Source organism: Homo sapiens, chromosome 21 (assembly GCF_000001405.40).
Source record: "Homo sapiens chromosome 21, GRCh38.p14 Primary Assembly".
In the NCBI taxonomy this organism is placed as follows: domain Eukaryota; kingdom Metazoa; phylum Chordata; class Mammalia; order Primates; family Hominidae; genus Homo; species Homo sapiens.
The window spans coordinates 8,388,701-8,412,339 of NC_000021.9; the positions used below are offsets into that span (position 1 = coordinate 8,388,701).

General features: G+C 64.8%; 4 non-coding genes across 4 annotated transcripts; all 4 read left to right on the forward strand.

Annotated features, from left to right (window-relative positions):
* Positions 1–334: 334 nt before the first annotated feature.
* Positions 335–13,643, forward strand: RNA45SN3 (RNA, 45S pre-ribosomal N3). Its single transcript, NR_146151.1, has one exon. It is a non-coding gene; the product is annotated as an RNA, 45S pre-ribosomal N3 (ribosomal RNA).
* On the forward strand, positions 3,966–5,834 carry RNA18SN3 (RNA, 18S ribosomal N3). The gene has a single exon (NR_146152.1). It is a non-coding gene; the product is annotated as an RNA, 18S ribosomal RNA N3 (ribosomal RNA).
* RNA5-8SN3 (RNA, 5.8S ribosomal N3) lies at positions 6,906–7,062 on the forward strand. Its single transcript, NR_146153.1, has one exon. It is a non-coding gene; the product is annotated as an RNA, 5.8S ribosomal RNA N3 (ribosomal RNA).
* Positions 8,226–13,280, forward strand: RNA28SN3 (RNA, 28S ribosomal N3). Its single transcript, NR_146154.1, has one exon. It is a non-coding gene; the product is annotated as an RNA, 28S ribosomal RNA N3 (ribosomal RNA).
* Positions 13,644–23,639: the final 9,996 nt, after the last annotated feature.

A 23,639-nucleotide genomic window follows, 5' to 3' on the forward strand; every position in this document is an offset into this window, starting at 1 on the left:
CCTGGCCGGCCTTCGGTCCCTCGTGTGTCCCGGTCGTAGGAGGGGCCGGCCGAAAATGCTTCCGGCTCCCGCTCTGGAGACACGGGCCGGCCCCCTGCGTGTGGCACGGGCGGCCGGGAGGGCGTCCCCGGCCCGGCGCTGCTCCCGCGTGTGTCCTGGGGTTGACCAGAGGGCCCCGGGCGCTCCGTGTGTGGCTGCGATGGTGGCGTTTTTGGGGACAGGTGTCCGTGTCGCGCGTCGCCTGGGCCGGCGGCGTGGTCGGTGACGCGACCTCCCGGCCCCGGGGGAGGTATATCTTTCGCTCCGAGTCGGCATTTTGGGCCGCCGGGTTATTGCTGACACGCTGTCCTCTGGCGACCTGTCGCTGGAGAGGTTGGGCCTCCGGATGCGCGCGGGGCTCTGGCCTACCGGTGACCCGGCTAGCCGGCCGCGCTCCTGCTTGAGCCGCCTGCCGGGGCCCGCGGGCCTGCTGTTCTCTCGCGCGTCCGAGCGTCCCGACTCCCGGTGCCGGCCCGGGTCCGGGTCTCTGACCCACCCGGGGGCGGCGGGGAAGGCGGCGAGGGCCACCGTGCCCCCGTGCGCTCTCCGCTGCGGGCGCCCGGGGCGGCCGCGACAACCCCACCCCGCTGGCTCCGTGCCGTGCGTGTCAGGCGTTCTCGTCTCCGCGGGGTTGTCCGCCGCCCCTTCCCCGGAGTGGGGGGTTGGCCGGAGCCGATCGGCTCGCTGGCCGGCCGGCCGGCCTCCGCTCCCGGGGGGCTCTTCGTGATCGATGTGGTGACGTCGTGCTCTCCCGGGCCGGGTCCGAGCCGCGACGGGCGAGGGGCGGACGTTCGTGGCGAACGGGACCGTCCTTCTCGCTCCGCCCCGCGGGGGTCCCCTCGTCTCTCCTCTCCCCGCCCGCCGGCGGTGCGTGTGGGAAGGCGTGGGGTGCGGACCCCGGCCCGACCTCGCCGTCCCGCCCGCCGCCTTCTGCGTCGCGGGTGCGGGCCGGCGGGGTCCTCTGACGCGGCAGACAGCCCTCGCTGTCGCCTCCAGTGGTTGTCGACTTGCGGGCGGCCCCCCTCCGCGGCGGTGGGGGTGCCGTCCCGCCGGCCCGTCGTGCTGCCCTCTCGGGGGGTTTGCGCGAGCGTCGGCTCCGCCTGGGCCCTTGCGGTGCTCCTGGAGCGCTCCGGGTTGTCCCTCAGGTGCCCGAGGCCGAACGGTGGTGTGTCGTTCCCGCCCCCGGCGCCCCCTCCTCCGGTCGCCGCCGCGGTGTCCGCGCGTGGGTCCTGAGGGAGCTCGTCGGTGTGGGGTTCGGGGCGGTTTGAGTGAGACGAGACGAGACGCGCCCCTCCCACGCGGGGAAGGGCGCCCGCCTGCTCTCGGTGAGCGCACGTCCCGTGCTCCCCTCTGGCGGGTGCGCGCGGGCCGTGTGAGCGATCGCGGTGGGTTCGGGCCGGTGTGACGCGTGCGCCGGCCGGCCGCCGAGGGGCTGCCGTTCTGCCTCCGACCGGTCGTGTGTGGGTTGACTTCGGAGGCGCTCTGCCTCGGAAGGAAGGAGGTGGGTGGACGGGGGGGCCTGGTGGGGTTGCGCGCACGCGCGCACCGGCCGGGCCCCCGCCCTGAACGCGAACGCTCGAGGTGGCCGCGCGCAGGTGTTTCCTCGTACCGCAGGGCCCCCTCCCTTCCCCAGGCGTCCCTCGGCGCCTCTGCGGGCCCGAGGAGGAGCGGCTGGCGGGTGGGGGGAGTGTGACCCACCCTCGGTGAGAAAAGCCTTCTCTAGCGATCTGAGAGGCGTGCCTTGGGGGTACCGGATCCCCCGGGCCGCCGCCTCTGTCTCTGCCTCCGTTATGGTAGCGCTGCCGTAGCGACCCGCTCGCAGAGGACCCTCCTCCGCTTCCCCCTCGACGGGGTTGGGGGGGAGAAGCGAGGGTTCCGCCGGCCACCGCGGTGGTGGCCGAGTGCGGCTCGTCGCCTACTGTGGCCCGCGCCTCCCCCTTCCGAGTCGGGGGAGGATCCCGCCGGGCCGGGCCCGGCGTCCCAGCGGGTTGGGACGCGGCGGCCGGCGGGCGGTGGGTGTGCGCGCCCGGCGCTCTGTCCGGCGCGTGACTCCCTCCGCCGCGAGTCGGCTCTCCGCCCGCTCCCGTGCCGAGTCGTGACCGGTGCCGACGACCGCGTTTGCGTGGCACGGGGTCGGGCCCGCCTGGCCCTGGGAAAGCGTCCCACGGTGGGGGCGCGCCGGTCTCCCGGAGCGGGACCGGGTCGGAGGATGGACGAGAATCACGAGCGACGGTGGTGGTGGCGTGTCGGGTTCGTGGCTGCGGTCGCTCCGGGGCCCCCGGTGGCGGGGCCCCGGGGCTCGCGAGGCGGTTCTCGGTGGGGGCCGAGGGCCGTCCGGCGTCCCAGGCGGGGCGCCGCGGGACCGCCCTCGTGTCTGTGGCGGTGGGATCCCGCGGCCGTGTTTTCCTGGTGGCCCGGCCGTGCCTGAGGTTTCTCCCGGAGCCGCCGCCTCTGCGGGCTCCCGGGTGCCCTTGCCCTCGCGGTCCCCGGCCCTCGCCCGTCTGTGCCCTCTTCCCCGCCCGCCGCCCGCCGATCCTCTTCTTCCCCCCGAGCGGCTCACCGGCTTCACGTCCGTTGGTGGCCCCGCCTGGGACCGAACCCGGCACCGCCTCGTGGGGCGCCGCCGCCGGCCACTGATCGGCCCGGCGTCCGCGTCCCCCGGCGCGCGCCTTGGGGACCGGGTCGGTGGCGCCCCGCGTGGGGCCCGGTGGGCTTCCCGGAGGGTTCCGGGGGTCGGCCTGCGGCGCGTGCGGGGGAGGAGACGGTTCCGGGGGACCGGCCGCGACTGCGGCGGCGGTGGTGGGGGGAGCCGCGGGGATCGCCGAGGGCCGGTCGGCCGCCCCGGGTGCCGCGCGGTGCCGCCGGCGGCGGTGAGGCCCCGCGCGTGTGTCCCGGCTGCGGTCGGCCGCGCTCGAGGGTCCCGTGCGTCCCCTTTCCCCGCCGGCCGCCTTTCTCGCGCCTTCCCCGTCGCCCCGCCTCGCCGTGGTCTCTCGTCTTCTCCCGGCCCGCTCTTCCGAACCGGGTCGGCGCGTCCCCCGGGTGCGCTCGCTTCCCGGGCCTGCCGCGGCCCTTTCCCCGAGGCGTCCGTCCCGGGCGTCGGCGTCGGGGAGAGCCCGTCCTCCCCGCGTGGCGTCGCCCGTTCGGCGCGCGCGTGCCCGAGCCGGCCCGGTGGTCCCTCCCGGACAGGCGTTCGTGCGACGTGTGGCGTGGGTCGACCTCCGCCTTGCCGGTCGCTCGCCCTCTCCCCGGGTCGGGGGGTGGGGCCCGGGCCGGGCCTCGGCCCCGGTCGCGGTCCCCCGTCCCGGGCGGGGCGGGCGCGCCGGCCGGCCTCGGTCGCCCTCCCTTGGCCGTCGTGTGGCGTGTGCCACCCCTGCGCCGCGCCGCCGGCGGGGCTCGGAGCCGGGCTTCGGACGGCCCCGGGCACTCGACCGGACCGGTGCGCGGGCGCTGCGGCGCACGGCGCGACTGTCCCCGGGCCGGGCACCGCGGTCCGCCTCTCGCTCGCGCCCGGACGTCGGGTGCCCGCGGGGCGGCGGAGCGCCGTCCCCGCCTGCGCGCGCCCGCGGGCGCCATGCGCGCGCGCGTGGCCGCCGGTCCCTCCCGGCCGCCGGGCGCGGGTCGGGCCGTCCGCCTCCTCGCGGGCGGGCGCGACGAAGAAGCGTCGCGGGTCTGTGGCGCGGGGCCCCGGTGGTCGTGTCGCGTGGGGGGCGGGTGGTTGGGGCGTCCGGTTCGCCGCGCCCCGCCCCGGCCCCACCGGTCCCGGCCGCCGCCCCCGCGCCCGCTCGCTCCCTCCCGTCCGCCCGTCCGCGGCCCGTCCGTCCGTCCGTCCGTCGTCCTCCTCGCTTGCGGGGCGCCGGGCCCGTCCTCGCGAGGCCCCCCGGCCGGCCGTCCGGCCGCGTCGGGGCCTCGCCGCGCTCTACCTTACCTACCTGGTTGATCCTGCCAGTAGCATATGCTTGTCTCAAAGATTAAGCCATGCATGTCTAAGTACGCACGGCCGGTACAGTGAAACTGCGAATGGCTCATTAAATCAGTTATGGTTCCTTTGGTCGCTCGCTCCTCTCCTACTTGGATAACTGTGGTAATTCTAGAGCTAATACATGCCGACGGGCGCTGACCCCCTTCGCGGGGGGGATGCGTGCATTTATCAGATCAAAACCAACCCGGTCAGCCCCTCTCCGGCCCCGGCCGGGGGGCGGGCGCCGGCGGCTTTGGTGACTCTAGATAACCTCGGGCCGATCGCACGCCCCCCGTGGCGGCGACGACCCATTCGAACGTCTGCCCTATCAACTTTCGATGGTAGTCGCCGTGCCTACCATGGTGACCACGGGTGACGGGGAATCAGGGTTCGATTCCGGAGAGGGAGCCTGAGAAACGGCTACCACATCCAAGGAAGGCAGCAGGCGCGCAAATTACCCACTCCCGACCCGGGGAGGTAGTGACGAAAAATAACAATACAGGACTCTTTCGAGGCCCTGTAATTGGAATGAGTCCACTTTAAATCCTTTAACGAGGATCCATTGGAGGGCAAGTCTGGTGCCAGCAGCCGCGGTAATTCCAGCTCCAATAGCGTATATTAAAGTTGCTGCAGTTAAAAAGCTCGTAGTTGGATCTTGGGAGCGGGCGGGCGGTCCGCCGCGAGGCGAGCCACCGCCCGTCCCCGCCCCTTGCCTCTCGGCGCCCCCTCGATGCTCTTAGCTGAGTGTCCCGCGGGGCCCGAAGCGTTTACTTTGAAAAAATTAGAGTGTTCAAAGCAGGCCCGAGCCGCCTGGATACCGCAGCTAGGAATAATGGAATAGGACCGCGGTTCTATTTTGTTGGTTTTCGGAACTGAGGCCATGATTAAGAGGGACGGCCGGGGGCATTCGTATTGCGCCGCTAGAGGTGAAATTCTTGGACCGGCGCAAGACGGACCAGAGCGAAAGCATTTGCCAAGAATGTTTTCATTAATCAAGAACGAAAGTCGGAGGTTCGAAGACGATCAGATACCGTCGTAGTTCCGACCATAAACGATGCCGACCGGCGATGCGGCGGCGTTATTCCCATGACCCGCCGGGCAGCTTCCGGGAAACCAAAGTCTTTGGGTTCCGGGGGGAGTATGGTTGCAAAGCTGAAACTTAAAGGAATTGACGGAAGGGCACCACCAGGAGTGGAGCCTGCGGCTTAATTTGACTCAACACGGGAAACCTCACCCGGCCCGGACACGGACAGGATTGACAGATTGATAGCTCTTTCTCGATTCCGTGGGTGGTGGTGCATGGCCGTTCTTAGTTGGTGGAGCGATTTGTCTGGTTAATTCCGATAACGAACGAGACTCTGGCATGCTAACTAGTTACGCGACCCCCGAGCGGTCGGCGTCCCCCAACTTCTTAGAGGGACAAGTGGCGTTCAGCCACCCGAGATTGAGCAATAACAGGTCTGTGATGCCCTTAGATGTCCGGGGCTGCACGCGCGCTACACTGACTGGCTCAGCGTGTGCCTACCCTACGCCGGCAGGCGCGGGTAACCCGTTGAACCCCATTCGTGATGGGGATCGGGGATTGCAATTATTCCCCATGAACGAGGAATTCCCAGTAAGTGCGGGTCATAAGCTTGCGTTGATTAAGTCCCTGCCCTTTGTACACACCGCCCGTCGCTACTACCGATTGGATGGTTTAGTGAGGCCCTCGGATCGGCCCCGCCGGGGTCGGCCCACGGCCCTGGCGGAGCGCTGAGAAGACGGTCGAACTTGACTATCTAGAGGAAGTAAAAGTCGTAACAAGGTTTCCGTAGGTGAACCTGCGGAAGGATCATTAACGGAGCCCGGAGGGCGAGGCCCGCGGCGGCGCCGCCGCCGCGCGCTTCCCTCCGCACACCCACCCCCCCACCGCGACGCGGCGCGTGCGCGGGCGGGGCCCGCGTGCCCGTTCGTTCGCTCGCTCGTTCGTTCGCCGCCCGGCCCCGCCGGCCGCGAGAGCCGGAGAACTCGGGAGGGAGACGGGGGAGAGAGAGAGAGAGAGAGAAAGAGAAAGAAGGGCGTGTCGTTGGTGTGCGCGTGTCGTGGGGCCGGCGGGCGGCGGGGAGCGGTCCCCGGCAGCGGCCCCGACGGCGTGGGTGTCGGCGGGCGCGGGGGCGGTTCTCGGCGGCGTCGCGGCGGGTCTGGGGGTCTCGGTGCCCTCCTCCCCGCCGGGGCCCGTCGTCCGGCCCCGCCGCGCCGGCTCCCCGTCTTCGGGGCCGGCCGGATTCCCGTCGCCTCCGCCGCGCCGCTCCGCGCCGCCGGGCACGGCCCCGCTCGCTCTCCCCGGCCTTCCCGCTAGGGCGTCTCGAGGGTCGGGGGCCGGACGCCGGTCCCCTCCCCCGCCTCCTCGTCCGCCCCCCCGCCGTCCAGGTACCTAGCGCGTTCCGGCGCGGAGGTTTAAAGACCCCTTGGGGGGATCGCCCGTCCGCCCGTGGGTCGGGGGCGGTGGTGGGCCCGCGGGGGAGTCCCGTCGGGAGGGGCCCGGCCCCTCCCGCGCCTCCACCGCGGACTCCGCTCCCCGGCCGGGGCCGCGCCGCCGCCGCCGCCGCGGCGGCCGTCGGGTGGGGGCTTTACCCGGCGGCCGTCGCGCGCCTGCCGCGCGTGTGGCGTGCGCCCCGCGCCGTGGGGGCGGGAACCCCCGGGCGCCTGTGGGGTGGTGTCCGCGCTCGCCCCCGCGTGGGCGGCGCGCGCCTCCCCGTGGTGTGAAACCTTCCGACCCCTCTCCGGAGTCCGGTCCCGTTTGCTGTCTCGTCTGGCCGGCCTGAGGCAACCCCCTCTCCTCTTGGGGGGGGGCGGGGGGACGTGCCGCGCCAGGAAGGGCCTCCTCCCGGTGCGTCGTCGGGAGCGCCCTCGCCAAATCGACCTCGTACGACTCTTAGCGGTGGATCACTCGGCTCGTGCGTCGATGAAGAACGCAGCTAGCTGCGAGAATTAATGTGAATTGCAGGACACATTGATCATCGACACTTCGAACGCACTTGCGGCCCCGGGTTCCTCCCGGGGCTACGCCTGTCTGAGCGTCGCTTGCCGATCAATCGCCCCCGGGGGTGCCTCCGGGCTCCTCGGGGTGCGCGGCTGGGGGTTCCCTCGCAGGGCCCGCCGGGGGCCCTCCGTCCCCCTAAGCGCAGACCCGGCGGCGTCCGCCCTCCTCTTGCCGCCGCGCCCGCCCCTTCCCCCTCCCCCCGCGGGCCCTGCGTGGTCACGCGTCGGGTGGCGGGGGGGAGAGGGGGGCGCGCCCGGCTGAGAGAGACGGGGAGGGCGGCGCCGCCGCCGCCCGCGAAGACGGAGAGGGAAAGAGAGAGCCGGCTCGGGCCGAGTTCCCGTGGCCGCCGCCTGCGGTCCGGGTTCCTCCCTCGGGGGGCTCCCTCGCGCCGCGCGCGGCTCGGGGTTCGGGGTTCGTCGGCCCCGGCCGGGTGGAAGGTCCCGTGCCCGTCGTCGTCGTCGTCGCGCGTCGTCGGCGGTGGGGGCGTGTTGCGTGCGGTGTGGTGGTGGGGGAGGAGGAAGGCGGGTCCGGAAGGGGAAGGGTGCCGGCGGGGAGAGAGGGTCGGGGGAGCGCGTCCCGGTCGCCGCGGTTCGCCGCCCGCCCCCGGTGGCGCCCGGCGTCCGCCGACCGCCGCTCCCGCGCCCCTCCTCCTCCCCCGCCGCCCCTCCTCCGAGGGCCCGCCCTGTCCTCCTCGCCCTCCCCGCGCGTACGCGCGCCCGCCCGCCCGGCTCGCCTCGCGGCGCGTCGGCCGGGGCCGGGAGCCCGCCCCGCGGCCCGCCCGGCCGCGCCCGTGGCCGCGGCGCCGGGGTTCGCGTGTCCCCGGCGGCGACCCGCGGGACGCCGCGGTGTCGTCCGCCGTCGCGCGCCCGCCTCCGGCTCGCGGCCGCGCCGCGCCGCGCCGGGGCCCCGTCCCGAGCTTCCGCGTCGGGGCGGGGCGGCTCCGCCGCCGCGTCCTCGGACCCGTCCCCCCGACCTCCGCGGGGGAGACGGGTCGGGGCGTGCGGCGCCCGTCCCGCCCCCGGCCCGTGCCCCTCCCTCCGGTCGTCCCGCTCCGGCGGGGCGGCGCGGGGGTGCCCTCGGCCGCGGCTCTCTCTCCCGTCGCCTCTCCCCCTCGCCGGGCCCGTCTCCCGACGGAGCGTCGGGCGGGCGGTCGGGCCGGCGCGATTCCGTCCGTCCGTCCGCCGAGCGGCCCGTCCCCCTCCGAGACGCGACCTCAGATCAGACGTGGCGACCCGCTGAATTTAAGCATATTAGTCAGCGGAGGAAAAGAAACTAACCAGGATTCCCTCAGTAACGGCGAGTGAACAGGGAAGAGCCCAGCGCCGAATCCCCGCCCCGCGGCGGGGCGCGGGACATGTGGCGTACGGAAGACCCGCTCCCCGGCGCCGCTCGTGGGGGGCCCAAGTCCTTCTGATCGAGGCCCAGCCCGTGGACGGTGTGAGGCCGGTAGCGGCCCCCGGCGCGCCGGGCCCGGGTCTTCCCGGAGTCGGGTTGCTTGGGAATGCAGCCCAAAGCGGGTGGTAAACTCCATCTAAGGCTAAATACCGGCACGAGACCGATAGTCAACAAGTACCGTAAGGGAAAGTTGAAAAGAACTTTGAAGAGAGAGTTCAAGAGGGCGTGAAACCGTTAAGAGGTAAACGGGTGGGGTCCGCGCAGTCCGCCCGGAGGATTCAACCCGGCGGCGGGTCCGGCCGTGTCGGCGGCCCGGCGGATCTTTCCCGCCCCCCGTTCCTCCCGACCCCTCCACCCGCCCTCCCTTCCCCCGCCGCCCCTCCTCCTCCTCCCCGGAGGGGGCGGGCTCCGGCGGGTGCGGGGGTGGGCGGGCGGGGCCGGGGGTGGGGTCGGCGGGGGACCGTCCCCCGACCGGCGACCGGCCGCCGCCGGGCGCATTTCCACCGCGGCGGTGCGCCGCGACCGGCTCCGGGACGGCTGGGAAGGCCGGCGGGGAAGGTGGCTCGGGGGGCCCCGTCCGTCCGTCCGTCCGTCCTCCTCCTCCCCGTCTCCGCCCCGGCCCCGCGTCCTCCCTCGGGAGGGCGCGCGGGTCGGGGCGGCGGCGGCGGTGGCGGCGGCGGCGGCGGCGGCGGGACCGAAACCCCCCCCGAGTGTTACAGCCCCCCCGGCAGCAGCACTCGCCGAATCCCGGGGCCGAGGGAGCGAGACCCGTCGCCGCGCTCTCCCCCCTCCCGGCGCCCACCCCCGCGGGGAATCCCCCGCGAGGGGGGTCTCCCCCGCGGGGGCGCGCCGGCGTCTCCTTGTGGGGGGACCGGGCCACCCCTCCCACGGCGAGAAGACTGTCCCACCCATCCTCCCCGCGCCCCCGCCCCGGCGACGGGGGGGGTGCCGCGCGCGGGTCGGGGGGCGGGGCGGACTGTCCCCAGTGCGCCCCGGGCGGGTCGCGCCGTCGGGCCCGGGGGGAGGTTCTCTCGGGGCCACGCGCGCGTCCCCCGAAGAGGGGGACGGCGGAGCGAGCGCACGGGGTCGGCGGCGACGTCGGCTACCCACCCGACCCGTCTTGAAACACGGACCAAGGAGTCTAACACGTGCGCGAGTCGGGGGCTCGCACGAAAGCCGCCGTGGCGCAATGAAGGTGAAGGCCGGCGCGCTCGCCGGCCGAGGTGGGATCCCGAGGCCTCTCCAGTCCGCCGAGGGCGCACCACCGGCCCGTCTCGCCCGCCGCGCCGGGGAGGTGGAGCACGAGCGCACGTGTTAGGACCCGAAAGATGGTGAACTATGCCTGGGCAGGGCGAAGCCAGAGGAAACTCTGGTGGAGGTCCGTAGCGGTCCTGACGTGCAAATCGGTCGTCCGACCTGGGTATAGGGGCGAAAGACTAATCGAACCATCTAGTAGCTGGTTCCCTCCGAAGTTTCCCTCAGGATAGCTGGCGCTCTCGCAGACCCGACGCACCCCCGCCACGCAGTTTTATCCGGTAAAGCGAATGATTAGAGGTCTTGGGGCCGAAACGATCTCAACCTATTCTCAAACTTTAAATGGGTAAGAAGCCCGGCTCGCTGGCGTGGAGCCGGGCGTGGAATGCGAGTGCCTAGTGGGCCACTTTTGGTAAGCAGAACTGGCGCTGCGGGATGAACCGAACGCCGGGTTAAGGCGCCCGATGCCGACGCTCATCAGACCCCAGAAAAGGTGTTGGTTGATATAGACAGCAGGACGGTGGCCATGGAAGTCGGAATCCGCTAAGGAGTGTGTAACAACTCACCTGCCGAATCAACTAGCCCTGAAAATGGATGGCGCTGGAGCGTCGGGCCCATACCCGGCCGTCGCCGGCAGTCGAGAGTGGACGGGAGCGGCGGGGGCGGCGCGCGCGCGCGCGCGTGTGGTGTGCGTCGGAGGGCGGCGGCGGCGGCGGGGGTGTGTGGGGTCCTCCCCCGCCCCCCCCCCACGCCTCCTCCCCTCCTCCCGCCCACGCCCCGCTCCCCGCCCCCGGAGCCCCGCGGACGCTACGCCGCGACGAGTAGGAGGGCCGCTGCGGTGAGCCTTGAAGCCTAGGGCGCGGGCCCGGGTGGAGCCGCCGCAGGTGCAGATCTTGGTGGTAGTAGCAAATATTCAAACGAGAACTTTGAAGGCCGAAGTGGAGAAGGGTTCCATGTGAACAGCAGTTGAACATGGGTCAGTCGGTCCTGAGAGATGGGCGAGCGCCGTTCCGAAGGGACGGGCGATGGCCTCCGTTGCCCTCGGCCGATCGAAAGGGAGTCGGGTTCAGATCCCCGAATCCGGAGTGGCGGAGATGGGCGCCGCGAGGCGTCCAGTGCGGTAACGCGACCGATCCCGGAGAAGCCGGCGGGAGCCCCGGGGAGAGTTCTCTTTTCTTTGTGAAGGGCAGGGCGCCCTGGAATGGGTTCGCCCCGAGAGAGGGGCCCGTGCCTTGGAAAGCGTCGCGGTTCCGGCGGCGTCCGGTGAGCTCTCGCTGGCCCTTGAAAATCCGGGGGAGAGGGTGTAAATCTCGCGCCGGGCCGTACCCATATCCGCAGCAGGTCTCCAAGGTGAACAGCCTCTGGCATGTTGGAACAATGTAGGTAAGGGAAGTCGGCAAGCCGGATCCGTAACTTCGGGATAAGGATTGGCTCTAAGGGCTGGGTCGGTCGGGCTGGGGCGCGAAGCGGGGCTGGGCGCGCGCCGCGGCTGGACGAGGCGCCGCCGCCCCCCCCACGCCCGGGGCACCCCCCTCGCGGCCCTCCCCCGCCCCACCCCGCGCGCGCCGCTCGCTCCCTCCCCGCCCCGCGCCCTCTCTCTCTCTCTCTCCCCCGCTCCCCGTCCTCCCCCCTCCCCGGGGGAGCGCCGCGTGGGGGCGGCGGCGGGGGGAGAAGGGTCGGGGCGGCAGGGGCCGGCGGCGGCCCGCCGCGGGGCCCCGGCGGCGGGGGCACGGTCCCCCGCGAGGGGGGCCCGGGCACCCGGGGGGCCGGCGGCGGCGGCGACTCTGGACGCGAGCCGGGCCCTTCCCGTGGATCGCCCCAGCTGCGGCGGGCGTCGCGGCCGCCCCCGGGGAGCCCGGCGGGCGCCGGCGCGCCCCCCCCCCCACCCCACGTCTCGTCGCGCGCGCGTCCGCTGGGGGCGGGGAGCGGTCGGGCGGCGGCGGTCGGCGGGCGGCGGGGCGGGGCGGTTCGTCCCCCCGCCCTACCCCCCCGGCCCCGTCCGCCCCCCGTTCCCCCCTCCTCCTCGGCGCGCGGCGGCGGCGGCGGCAGGCGGCGGAGGGGCCGCGGGCCGGTCCCCCCCGCCGGGTCCGCCCCCGGGGCCGCGGTTCCGCGCGGCGCCTCGCCTCGGCCGGCGCCTAGCAGCCGACTTAGAACTGGTGCGGACCAGGGGAATCCGACTGTTTAATTAAAACAAAGCATCGCGAAGGCCCGCGGCGGGTGTTGACGCGATGTGATTTCTGCCCAGTGCTCTGAATGTCAAAGTGAAGAAATTCAATGAAGCGCGGGTAAACGGCGGGAGTAACTATGACTCTCTTAAGGTAGCCAAATGCCTCGTCATCTAATTAGTGACGCGCATGAATGGATGAACGAGATTCCCACTGTCCCTACCTACTATCCAGCGAAACCACAGCCAAGGGAACGGGCTTGGCGGAATCAGCGGGGAAAGAAGACCCTGTTGAGCTTGACTCTAGTCTGGCACGGTGAAGAGACATGAGAGGTGTAGAATAAGTGGGAGGCCCCCGGCGCCCCCCCGGTGTCCCCGCGAGGGGCCCGGGGCGGGGTCCGCCGGCCCTGCGGGCCGCCGGTGAAATACCACTACTCTGATCGTTTTTTCACTGACCCGGTGAGGCGGGGGGGCGAGCCCCGAGGGGCTCTCGCTTCTGGCGCCAAGCGCCCGGCCGCGCGCCGGCCGGGCGCGACCCGCTCCGGGGACAGTGCCAGGTGGGGAGTTTGACTGGGGCGGTACACCTGTCAAACGGTAACGCAGGTGTCCTAAGGCGAGCTCAGGGAGGACAGAAACCTCCCGTGGAGCAGAAGGGCAAAAGCTCGCTTGATCTTGATTTTCAGTACGAATACAGACCGTGAAAGCGGGGCCTCACGATCCTTCTGACCTTTTGGGTTTTAAGCAGGAGGTGTCAGAAAAGTTACCACAGGGATAACTGGCTTGTGGCGGCCAAGCGTTCATAGCGACGTCGCTTTTTGATCCTTCGATGTCGGCTCTTCCTATCATTGTGAAGCAGAATTCACCAAGCGTTGGATTGTTCACCCACTAATAGGGAACGTGAGCTGGGTTTAGACCGTCGTGAGACAGGTTAGTTTTACCCTACTGATGATGTGTTGTTGCCATGGTAATCCTGCTCAGTACGAGAGGAACCGCAGGTTCAGACATTTGGTGTATGTGCTTGGCTGAGGAGCCAATGGGGCGAAGCTACCATCTGTGGGATTATGACTGAACGCCTCTAAGTCAGAATCCCGCCCAGGCGGAACGATACGGCAGCGCCGCGGAGCCTCGGTTGGCCTCGGATAGCCGGTCCCCCGCCTGTCCCCGCCGGCGGGCCGCCCCCCCCCTCCACGCGCCCCGCGCGCGCGGGAGGGCGCGTGCCCCGCCGCGCGCCGGGACCGGGGTCCGGTGCGGAGTGCCCTTCGTCCTGGGAAACGGGGCGCGGCCGGAGAGGCGGCCGCCCCCTCGCCCGTCACGCACCGCACGTTCGTGGGGAACCTGGCGCTAAACCATTCGTAGACGACCTGCTTCTGGGTCGGGGTTTCGTACGTAGCAGAGCAGCTCCCTCGCTGCGATCTATTGAAAGTCAGCCCTCGACACAAGGGTTTGTCCGCGCGCGCGCGCGCGCGCGCGTGCGGGGGGCCCGGCGGGGCGTGCGCGTCCGGCGCCGTCCGTCCTTCCGTTCGTCTTCCTCCCTCCCGGCCTCTCCCGCCGACCGCGGGCGTGGTGGTGGGGGTGTGGGGGGGAGGGCGCGCGACCCCGGTCGGCGCGCCCCGCTTCTTCGGTTCCCGCCTCCTCCCCGTTCACCGCCGGGGCGGCTCGTCCGCTCCGGGCCGGGACGGGGTCCGGGGAGCGTGGTTTGGGAGCCGCGGAGGCGGCCGCGCCGAGCCGGGCCCGTGGCCCGCCGGTCCCCGTCCCGGGGGTTGGCCGCGCGGGCCCCGGTGGGGCGGCCACCCGGGGTCCCGGCCCTCGCGCGTCCTTCCTCCTCGCTCCTCCGCACGGGTCGACCAGCAGACCGCGGGTGGTGGGCGGCGGGCGGCGACGCCCTCTCGCTCTCTCTCTGTCTCTGTGTGTGTCTGTCTCTCTCCCTCCCTCCCTCCCTCCCTCCCTCCCTCCCTCCCTCCCTCCCTCCCCTTCCTTGGTGCCTTCTCGGCTCTTGAGACTTAGCCGCTGTCTCGCCGTGCCCCGGGTCGACCGGCGGGCCTTCTCCACCGAGCGGCGTGTAAGAGTGCCCGTCGGGACGAGCCGGACCCGCCGCGTCCCCGTCTCGGTCGGCACCTCCGGGGTCGACCAGCTGCCGCCCGCGAGCTCCGGACTTAGCCGGCGTCTGCACGTGTCCCGGGTCGACCAGCAGGCGGCCGCCGGACGCTGCGGCGCACCGACGCGAGGGCGCTGATTCCCGTTCACGCGCCCGCGACCTCCACCGGCCTCGGCCCGCCGTGGAGCTGGGACCACGCGGAACTCCCTCTCCTACATTTTTTTCAGCCCCACCGCGAGTTTGCGTCCGCGGGACTTTTAAGAGGGAGTCACTGCTGCCGTCAGCCAGTAATGCTTCCTCCTTTTTTGCTTTTAGGTTTTGTCTTGCCTTTTTTTTTTTTTTTTTTTCTTCTTTCTTTCTTTCTTTCTTTCTTTCTTTCTTTCTTTCTTTCTTTCTTTGCCGCTCTCGCTCTCTCGCTCTCTCCCTCTCTCGTTTTCTTTCTCTTTCTCTTTCTCTCTCTCTCTCTCTCTCTCTCTCTGTCTCTCGCTCTCGCCCTCTCTCTCTCTCTCTTTCTCTCTGTCTCTCTCTGTCTCTCTCTCTCTCTCTCTCTCTCTCTCTCTCTCTCTCTCTCTCTCTCTCTCTCCCTCCCCCTCCCTCCCTCTCTCCCCTTCCTTGGTGCCTTCTCGGCTCTTGACACTTAGCCGCTGTCTCGCCGTGTCCCGGGTCGACCGGCGGGCCTTCTCCACCGAGCGGCGTGTAAGAGTGCCCGTCGGGACGAGCCGGACCCGCCGCGTCCCCGTCTCGGTCGGCACCTCCGGGGTCGACCAGCTGCCGCCCGCGAGCTCCGGACTTAGCTGGCGTCTGCACGTGTCCCGGGTCGACCAGCAGGCGGCCGCCGGACGCTGCGGCGCACCGACGCGAGGGCGTCGATTCCGGTTCACGCGCCGGCGACCTCCACCGGCCTCGGCCCGCGGTGGAGCTGGGACCACGCGGAACTCCCTCTTCTACATTTTTTTCAGCCCCACCGCGAGTTTGCGTCCGCGGGACTTTTAAGAGGGAGTCACTGCTGCCGTCAGCCAGTAATGCTTCCTCCTTTTTTGCTTTTAGGTTTTGTCTTGCCTTTTTTTTTTTTTTTTTTTTTTCTTTCTTTCTTTCTTTCTTTCTTTCTTTCTTTCTTTCTTTCTTTCTTTCTCGCTCTCGCTCTCTCGCTCTCTCCCTCGCTCGTTTTCTTTCTCTTTCTCTTTCTCTCTCTCTCTCTCTCTCTCTCTCTGTCTCTCGCTCTCGCCCTCTCTCTCTCTCTCTTTCTCTCTGTCTCTCTCTGTCTCTCTCTCTCTCTCTCTCTCTCTCTCTCTCTCTCTCTCTCTCTCTCTCTCTCCCTCCCCCTCCCTCCCTCTCTCCCCTTCCTTGGTGCCTTCTCGGCTCTTGACACTTAGCCGCTGTCTCGCCGTGTCCCGGGTCGACCGGCGGGCCTTCTCCACCGAGCGGCGTGTAAGAGTGCCCGTCGGGACGAGCCGGACCCGCCGCGTCCCCGTCTCGGTCGGCACCTCCGGGGTCGACCAGCTGCCGCCCGCGAGCTCCGGACTTAGCTGGCGTCTGCACGTGTCCCGGGTCGACCAGCAGGCGGCCGCCGGACGCTGCGGCGCACCGACGCGAGGGCGTCGATTCCGGTTCACGCGCCGGCGACCTCCACCGGCCTCGGCCCGCGGTGGAGCTGGGACCACGCGGAACTCCCTCTTCTACATTTTTTTCAGCCCCACTGCGAGTTTGCGTCCGCGGGACTTTTAAGAGGGAGTCACTGCTGCCGTCAGCCAGTAATGCTTCCTCCTTTTTTGCTTTTTGGTTTTGCCTTGCGTTTTCTTTCTTTCTTTCTTTCTTTCTTTCTTTCTTTCTTTTCTTTCTTTCTTTCTTTCTTTCTTTCTTTCTCTCTCTCTCTCTCTCTCTCTGTCTCTCTCCCCTCCCTCCCTCCTTGGTGCCTTCTCGGCTCGCTGCTGCTGCTGCCTCTGCCTCCACGGTTCAAGCAAACAGCAAGTTTTCTATTTCGAGTAAAGACGTAATTTCACCATTTTGGCCGGGCTGGTCTCGAACTCCCGACCTAGTGATCCGCCCGCCTCGGCCTCCCAAAGACTGCTGGGAGTACAGATGTGAGCCACCATGCCCGGCCGATTCCTTCCTTTTTTCAATCTTATTTTCTGAACGCTGCCGTGTATGAACATACATCTACACATACACACACACACACACACACACACACACACACACACACACACACACACACACACACCCCCCGTAGTGATAAAACTATGTAAATGATATTTCCATAATTAATACGTTTATATTATGTTACTTTTAATGGATGAATATGTATCGAAGCCCCATTTCATTTACATACACGTGTATGTATATCCTTCCTCCCTTCCTTCATTCATTATTTATTAATAATTTTCGTTTATTTATTTTCTTTTCTTTTGGGGCCGGCCCGCCTGGTCTTCTGTCTCTGCGCTCTGGTGACCTCAGCCTCCCAAATAGCTGGGACTACAGGGATCTCTTAAGCCCGGGAGGGAGAGGTTAACGTGGGCTGTGATCGCACACTTCCACTCCAGCTTACGTGGGCTGCGGTGGGGTGGGGTGCAGAGAAAACGATTGATTGCGATCTCAATTGCCTTTTAGCTTCATTCATACCCTGTTATTTGCTCGTTTATTCTCATGGGTTCTTCTGTGTCATTGTCACGTTCATCGTTTGCTTGCCTGCTTGCCTGTTTATTTCCTTCCTTCCTTCCTTCCTTCCTTCCTTCCTTCCTTCCCTCCTTCCTTCCTTCCTTCCCTCCCTTACTGGCAGGGTCTTCCTCTGTCTCTGCCGCCCAGGATCACCCCAACCTCAACGCTTTGGACCGACCAAACGGTCGTTCTGCCTCTGATCCCTCCCATCCCCATTACCTGAGACTACAGGCGCGCACCACCACACCGGCTGACTTTTATGTTGTTTCTCATGTTTTCCGTAGGTAGGTATGTGTGTGTGTGTGTGTGTGTGTGTGTGTGTGTGTGTGTGTGTGTGTGTGTGTATCTATGTATGTACGTATGTATGTATGTATGTGAGTGAGATGGGTTTCGGGGTTCTATCATGTTGCCCACGCTGGTCTCGAACTCCTGTCCTCAAGCAATCCGCCTGCCTGCCTCGGCCGCCCACACTGCTGCTATTACAGGCGTGAGACGCTGCGCCTGGCTCCTTCTACATTTGCCTGCCTGCCTGCCTGCCTGCCTGCCTGCCTGCCTGCCTGCCTGCCTGCCTGCCTATCAATCGTCTTCTTTTTAGTACGGATGTGCTCTCGCTTTATTGTCCATGCTCTGGGCACACGTGGTCTCTTTTCAAACTTCTATGATTATTATTATTGTAGGCGTCATCTCACGTGTCGAGGTGATCTCGAACTTTTAGGCTCCAGAGATCCTCCCGCATCGGCCTCCCGGAGTGCTGTGATGACACGCGTGGGCACGGTACGCTCTGGTCGTGTTTGTCGTGGGTCGGTTCTTTCCGTTTTTAATACGGGGACTGCGAACGAAGAAAATTTCCAGACGCATCTCACCGATCCGCCTTTTCGTTCTTTCTTTTTATTCTCTTTAGACGGAGTTTCACTCTTGTCGCCCAGGGTGGAGTACGATGGCGGCTCTCGGCTCACCGCACCCTCCGCCTCCCAGGTTCAAGTGATTCTCCTGCCTCAGCCTTCCCGAGTAGCTGGAATGACAGAGATGAGCCATCGTGCCCGGCTAATTTTTCTATTTTTACTACAGATGGGGTTTCTCCATCTTGGTCAGGCTGGTCTTCAACTTCCGACCGTTGGAGAATCTTAACTTTCTTGGTGGTGGTTGTTTTCCTTTTTCTTTTTTTTCTTTTCTTTTCTTTCCTTCTCCTCCCCCCCCACCCCCCCTTGTCGTCGTCCTCCTCCTCCTCCTCCTCCTCCTCCTCCTCCTCCTCCTCCTCCTCCTCTTTCATTTCTTTCAGCTGGGCTCTCCTACGTGTGTTGCTCTGTTGCTCACGCTGGTCTCAAACTCCTGGCCTTGACGCTTCTCCCGTCACATCCGCCGTCTGGTTGTTGAAATGAGCATCTCTCGTAAAATGGAAAAGATGAAAGAAATAAACACGAAGACGGAAAGCACGGTGTGAACGTTTCTCTTGCCGTCTCCCGGGGTGTACCTTGGACCCGGAAACACGGAGGGAGCTTGGCTGAGTGGGTTTTCGGTGCCGAAACCTCCCGAGGGCCTCCTTCCCTCTCCCCCTTGTCCCCGCTTCTCCCCCAGCCGAGGCTCCCACCGCCGCCCTGGCATTTTCCATAGGAGAGGTATGGGAGAGGACTGACACGCCTTCCAGATCTATATCCTGCCGGACGTCTCTGGCTCGGCGTGCCCCACCGGCTACCTGCCACCTTCCAGGGAGCTCTGAGGCGGATGCGACCCCCACCCCCCCGTCACGTCCCGCTACCCTCCCCCGGCTGGCCTTTGCCGGGCGACCCCAGGGGAACCGCGTTGATGCTGCCTTCGGATCCTCCGGCGAAGACTTCCACCGGATGCCCCGGGTGGGCCGGTTGGGATCAGACTGGACCACCCCGGACCGTGCTGTTCTTGGGGGTGGGTTGACGTACAGGGTGGACTGGCAGCCCCAGCATTGTAAAGGGTGCGTGGGTATGGAAATGTCACCTAGGATGCCCTCCTTCCCTTCGGTCTGCCTTCAGCTGCCTCAGGCGTGAAGACAACTTCCCATCGGAACCTCTTCTCTTCCCTTTCTCCAGCACACAGATGAGACGCACGAGAGGGAGAAACAGCTCAATAGATACCGCTGACCTTCATTTGTGGAATCCTCAGTCATCGACACACAAGACAGGTGACTAGGCAGGGACACAGATCAAACACTATTTCCGGGTCCTCGTGGTGGGATTGGTCTCTCTCTCTCTCTCTCTCTCTCTCTCTCTCTCTCTCTCTCTCGCACGCGCACGCGCGCACACACACACACAATTTCCATATCTAGTTCACAGAGCACACTCACTTCCCCTTTTCACAGTACGCAGGCTGAGTAAAACCCGCCCCACCCTCCACCCGTTGGCTGACGAAACCCCTTCTCTACAATTGATGAAAAAGATGATCTGGGCCGGGCACGCTAGCTCACGCCTGTCACTCCGGCACTTTGGGAGGCCGAGGCGGGTGGATCGCTTGGGGCCGGGAGTTCGAGACCAGGCTGGCCGACGTGGCGAAACCCCGTCTCTCTGAAAAATAGAACGATTAGCCGGGCCTGGTGGCGTGGGCTTGGAATCACGACCGCTCGGGAGACTGGGGCGGGCGACTTGTTCCAACCGGGGAGGCCGAGGTTGCGATGAGCTGAGATCGTGCCGTGGCGATGCGGCCTGGATGACGGAGCGAGACCCCGTGTCGAGAGAATCATGATGTTATTATAAGATGAGTTGTGCGCGGTGATGGCCGCCTGTAGTCGCGGCTACTCGGGAGGCTGAGACGAGGAGAAGATCACTTGAGGCCCCACAGGTCGAGGCTTCGGTCGGCCGTGACCCACTGTATCCTGGGCAGTCACCGGTCAAGGAGATATGCCCCTTCCCCGTTTGCTTTTCTTTTCTTCCCTTCTCTTTTCTTCTTTTTGCTTCTCTTTTCTTTCTTTCTTTCTTTCTTTCTTTCTTTCTTTCTTTCTTTTTCTTTTTCTCTCTTCCCCTCTTTCTTTCCTGCCTTCCTGCCTTTCTTCTTTTCTTCTTTCCTCCCTTCCTCCCTTCCTTCTTTCCTCCCGCCTCAGCCTCCCAAAGTGCTGGGATGACTGGCGGGAGGCACCATGCCTGCTTGGCCCAAAGAGACCCTCTTGGAAAGTGAGACGCAGAGAGCGCCTTCCAGTGATCTCATTGACTGATTTAGAGACGGCATCTCGCTCCGTCACCCCGGCAGTGGTGCCGTCGTAACTCACTCCCTGCAGCGTGGACGCTCCTGGACTCGAGCGATCCTTCCACCTCAGCCTCCAGAGTACAGAGCCTGGGACCGCGGGCACGCGCCACTGTGCCCACACCGTTTTTAATTGTTTTTTTTTCCCCCGAGACAGAGTTTCACTCTCGTGGCCTAGACTGCAGTGCGGTGGCGCGATCTTGGCTCACCGCAACCTCTGCCTCCCGGTTTCAAGCGATTCTCCTGCATCGGCCTCCTGAGTAGCCGGGATTGCGGGCATGCGCTGCCACGTCTGGCTGATTTCGTATTTTTAGTGGAGACGGGGCTTCTCCATGTCGATCGGGCTGGTTTCGAACTCCCGACCTCAGGTGATCCGCCCTCCCCGGCCTCCGGAAGTGCTGGGATGACAGGCGTGAGCCACCGCGCCCGGCCTTCATTTTTAAATGTTTTCCCACAGACGGGGTCTCATCATTTCTTTGCAACCCTCCTGCCCGGCGTCTCAAAGTGCTGGCGTGACGGGCGTGAGCCACTGCGCCTGGACTCCGGGGAATGACTCACGACCACCATCGCTCTACTGATCCTTTCTTTCTTTCTTTCTTTCTTTCTTTCTTTCTTTCTTTCTTTCTTTCTTTCTTTCTTTCTTGATGAATTATCTTATGATTTATTTGTGTACTTATTTTCAGACGGAGTCTCGCTCTGGGCGGGGCGAGGCGAGGCGAGGCACAGCGCATCGCTTTGGAAGCCGCGGCAACGCCTTTCAAAGCCCCATTCGTATGCACAGAGCCTTATTCCCTTCCTGGAGTTGGAGCTGATGCCTTCCGTAGCCTTGGGCTTCTCTCCATTCGGAAGCTTTGACAGGCGCAACCCCACCCAGAGGCTGGCTGCGGCTGAGGATTAGGGGGTGTGTTGGGGCTGAAAACTGGGTCCCCTATTTTTGATACCTCAGCCGACACATCCCCCGACCGCCATCGCTTGCTCGCCCTCTGAGATCCCCCGCCTCCACCGCCTTGCAGGCTCACCTCTTACTTTCATTTCTTCCTTTCTTGCGTTTGAGGAGGGGGTGCGGGAATGAGGGTGTGTGTGGGGAGGGGGTGCGGGGTGGGGACGGAGGGGAGCGTCCTAAGGGTCGATTTAGTGTCATGCCTCTTTCACCACCACCACCACCACCGAAGATGACAGCAAGGATCGGCTAAATACCGCGTGTTCTCATCTAGAAGTGGGAACTTACAGATGACAGTTCTTGCATGGGCAGAACGAGGGGGACCGGGGACGCGGAAGCCTGCTTGAGGGAGGAGGGGTGGAAGGAGAGACAGCTTCAGGAAGAAAACAAAACACGAATACTGTCGGACACAGCACTGACTACCCGGGTGATGAAATCATCTGCACACTGAACACCCCCGTCACAAGTTTACCTATGTCACAGTCTTGCACATGTATGCTTGAACGACAAATAAAAGTTAGGGGGGAGAAGAGAGGAGAGAGAGAGAGAGAGAGAGACAGAGAGAGACAGAGAGAGAGAGAGAGGAGGGAGAGAGAAAACGAAACACCACCTCCTTGACCTGAGTCAGGGGGTTTCTGGCCTTTTGGGAGAACGTTCAGCGACAATGCAGTATTTGGGCCCGTTCTTTTTTTTTCTTCTTCTTTTCTTTCTTTTTTTTTGGACTGAGTCTCTCTCGCTCTGTCACCCAGGCTGCGGTGCGGTGGCGCTCTCTCGGCTCACTGAAACCTCTGCTTCCCGGGTTCCAGTGATTCTTCTTCGGTAGCTGGGATTACAGGCGCACACCATGACGGCCGGCTCATATTCCTATTTTCAGTAGAGACGGGGTTTCTCCACGTTGGCCACGCTGGTCTCGAACTCCTGACCTCAAATGATCCGCCTTCCTGGGCCTCCCAAAGTGCTGGAAACGACAGGCCTGAGCCGCCGGGATTTCAGCCTTTAAAAGCGCGGGCCCTGCCACCTTTCGCTGTGGCCCTTACGCTCAGAATGACGTGTCCTCTCTGCCGTAGGTTGACTCCTTGAGTCCCCTAGGCCATTGCACTGTAGCCTGGGCAGCAAGAGCCAAACTCCGTCCCCCCACCTCCCCGCGCACATAATAACTAACTAACAAACTAACTAACTAACTAAACTAACTAAATAAATAAAATCTCTACACGTCACCTCTAAGTGTGTGTTCCCGTGAGGAGTGATTTCTAAGAAATGGCACTGTACACTGAACGCAGTGGCTCACGTCTGTCATCCCGAGGTCAGGAGTTCGAGACCAGCCCGGCCAACGTGGTGAAACCCCCGTCTCTACTGAAAATACGAAATGGAGTCAGGCGCCGTGGGGCAGGCACCTGTAACCCCAGCTACTCGGGAGGCTGGGGTGGAAGAATTGCTTGAACCTGGCAGGCGGAGGCTGCAGTGACCCAAGATCGCACCACTGCACTACAGCCTGGGCGACAGAGTGAGACCCGGTCTCCAGATAAATACGTACATAAATAAATACACACATACATACATACATACATACATACATACATACATACATACATCCATGCATACAGATATACAAGAAAGAAAAAAAGAAAAGAAAAGAAAGAGAAAATGAAAGAAAAGGCACTGTATTGCTACTGGGCTAGGGCCTTCTCTCTGTCTGTTTCTCTCTGTTCGTCTCTGTCTTTCTCTCTGTGTCTCTTTCTCTGTCTGTCTGTCTCTTTCTTTCTCTCTGTCTCTGTCTCTGTCTTTGTCTCTCTCTCTCCCTCTCTGCCTGTCTCACTGTGTCTGTCTTCTGTCTTACTCTCTTTCTCTCCCCGTCTGTCTCTCTCTCTCTCTCTCCCTCCCTGTTTGTTTCTCTCTCTCCCTCCCTGTCTGTTTCTCTCTCTCTCTTTCTGTCTGTTTCTGTCTCTCTCTGTCTGTCTATGTCTTTCTCTGTCTGTCTCTTTCTCTGTCTGTCTGCCTCTCTCTTTCTTTTTCTGTGTCTCTCTGTCGGTCTCTCTCTCTCTGTCTGTCTGTCTGTCTCTCTCTCTCTCTCTCTGTGCCTATCTTCTGTCTTACTCTCTTTCTCTGCCTGTCTGTCTGTCTCTCCCTCCCTTTCTGTTTCTCTCTCTCTCTCTCTCTCTCTCCCCCTCTCCCTGTCTGTTTCTCTCCGTCTCTCTCTCTTTCTGTCTGTTTCTCACTGTCTCTCTCTCTCCCTCTCTCGCTCTCTCTGTCTTTCTCTCTTTCTCTCTGTTTCTCTGTCTCTCTCTGTCCGTCTCTGTCTTTTTCTGTCTGTCTCTCTCTTTCTTTCTGTCTGTCTCTGTCTCTGTCTCTCTCTCTCTCTCTGCTTGTCTCTCTCACTGTGTCTGTCCTCTGTCTTACTCTCCTTCTCTGCCTGTCCGTCTGTCTGTCTGTCTCTCTCTCTCTCCCTCCCTTTCTGTTTCTCTCTCGCTCTCTCTCTCTCTCTCTCTCTCTCTCTCTGCCTGTTTCTCTTTCTCTCTCTGTCTGTCTCTGTCTTTCTCTGTCTGTCTCTTTCTCTGTCTGTCTGTCTCCTTCTCTCTGTCTCCGTCTCTGTCTCTCTCTCTCTGTCTCTCTCTCTCTGCCTGTCTCACTGTGTCTGTCTTCTGTCTTATTCTCTTTCTCTGTCTGTCTGTCTCTCTCTCTCCCTTCCTGTCTCTTTCTCTCTCTCTCTCTCTTTCTGTCTGTTTCTCTCTGCCTGTCTCCGTCTTTCTCTGTCTGCCTCTCTCTTTCTTTTTCTGCGTCTCTCTGTCTCTCTCTCTCTGTGCCTATCTTCTGTCTTACTCTGTTTCTCTGCCTGCCTGTCTGTCTGTCTGTCTCTCTCTCTCTCTGTCTCTCTCTCTTTCTGTCTGTTTCTCTCTGTCTCTCTGTCCATCT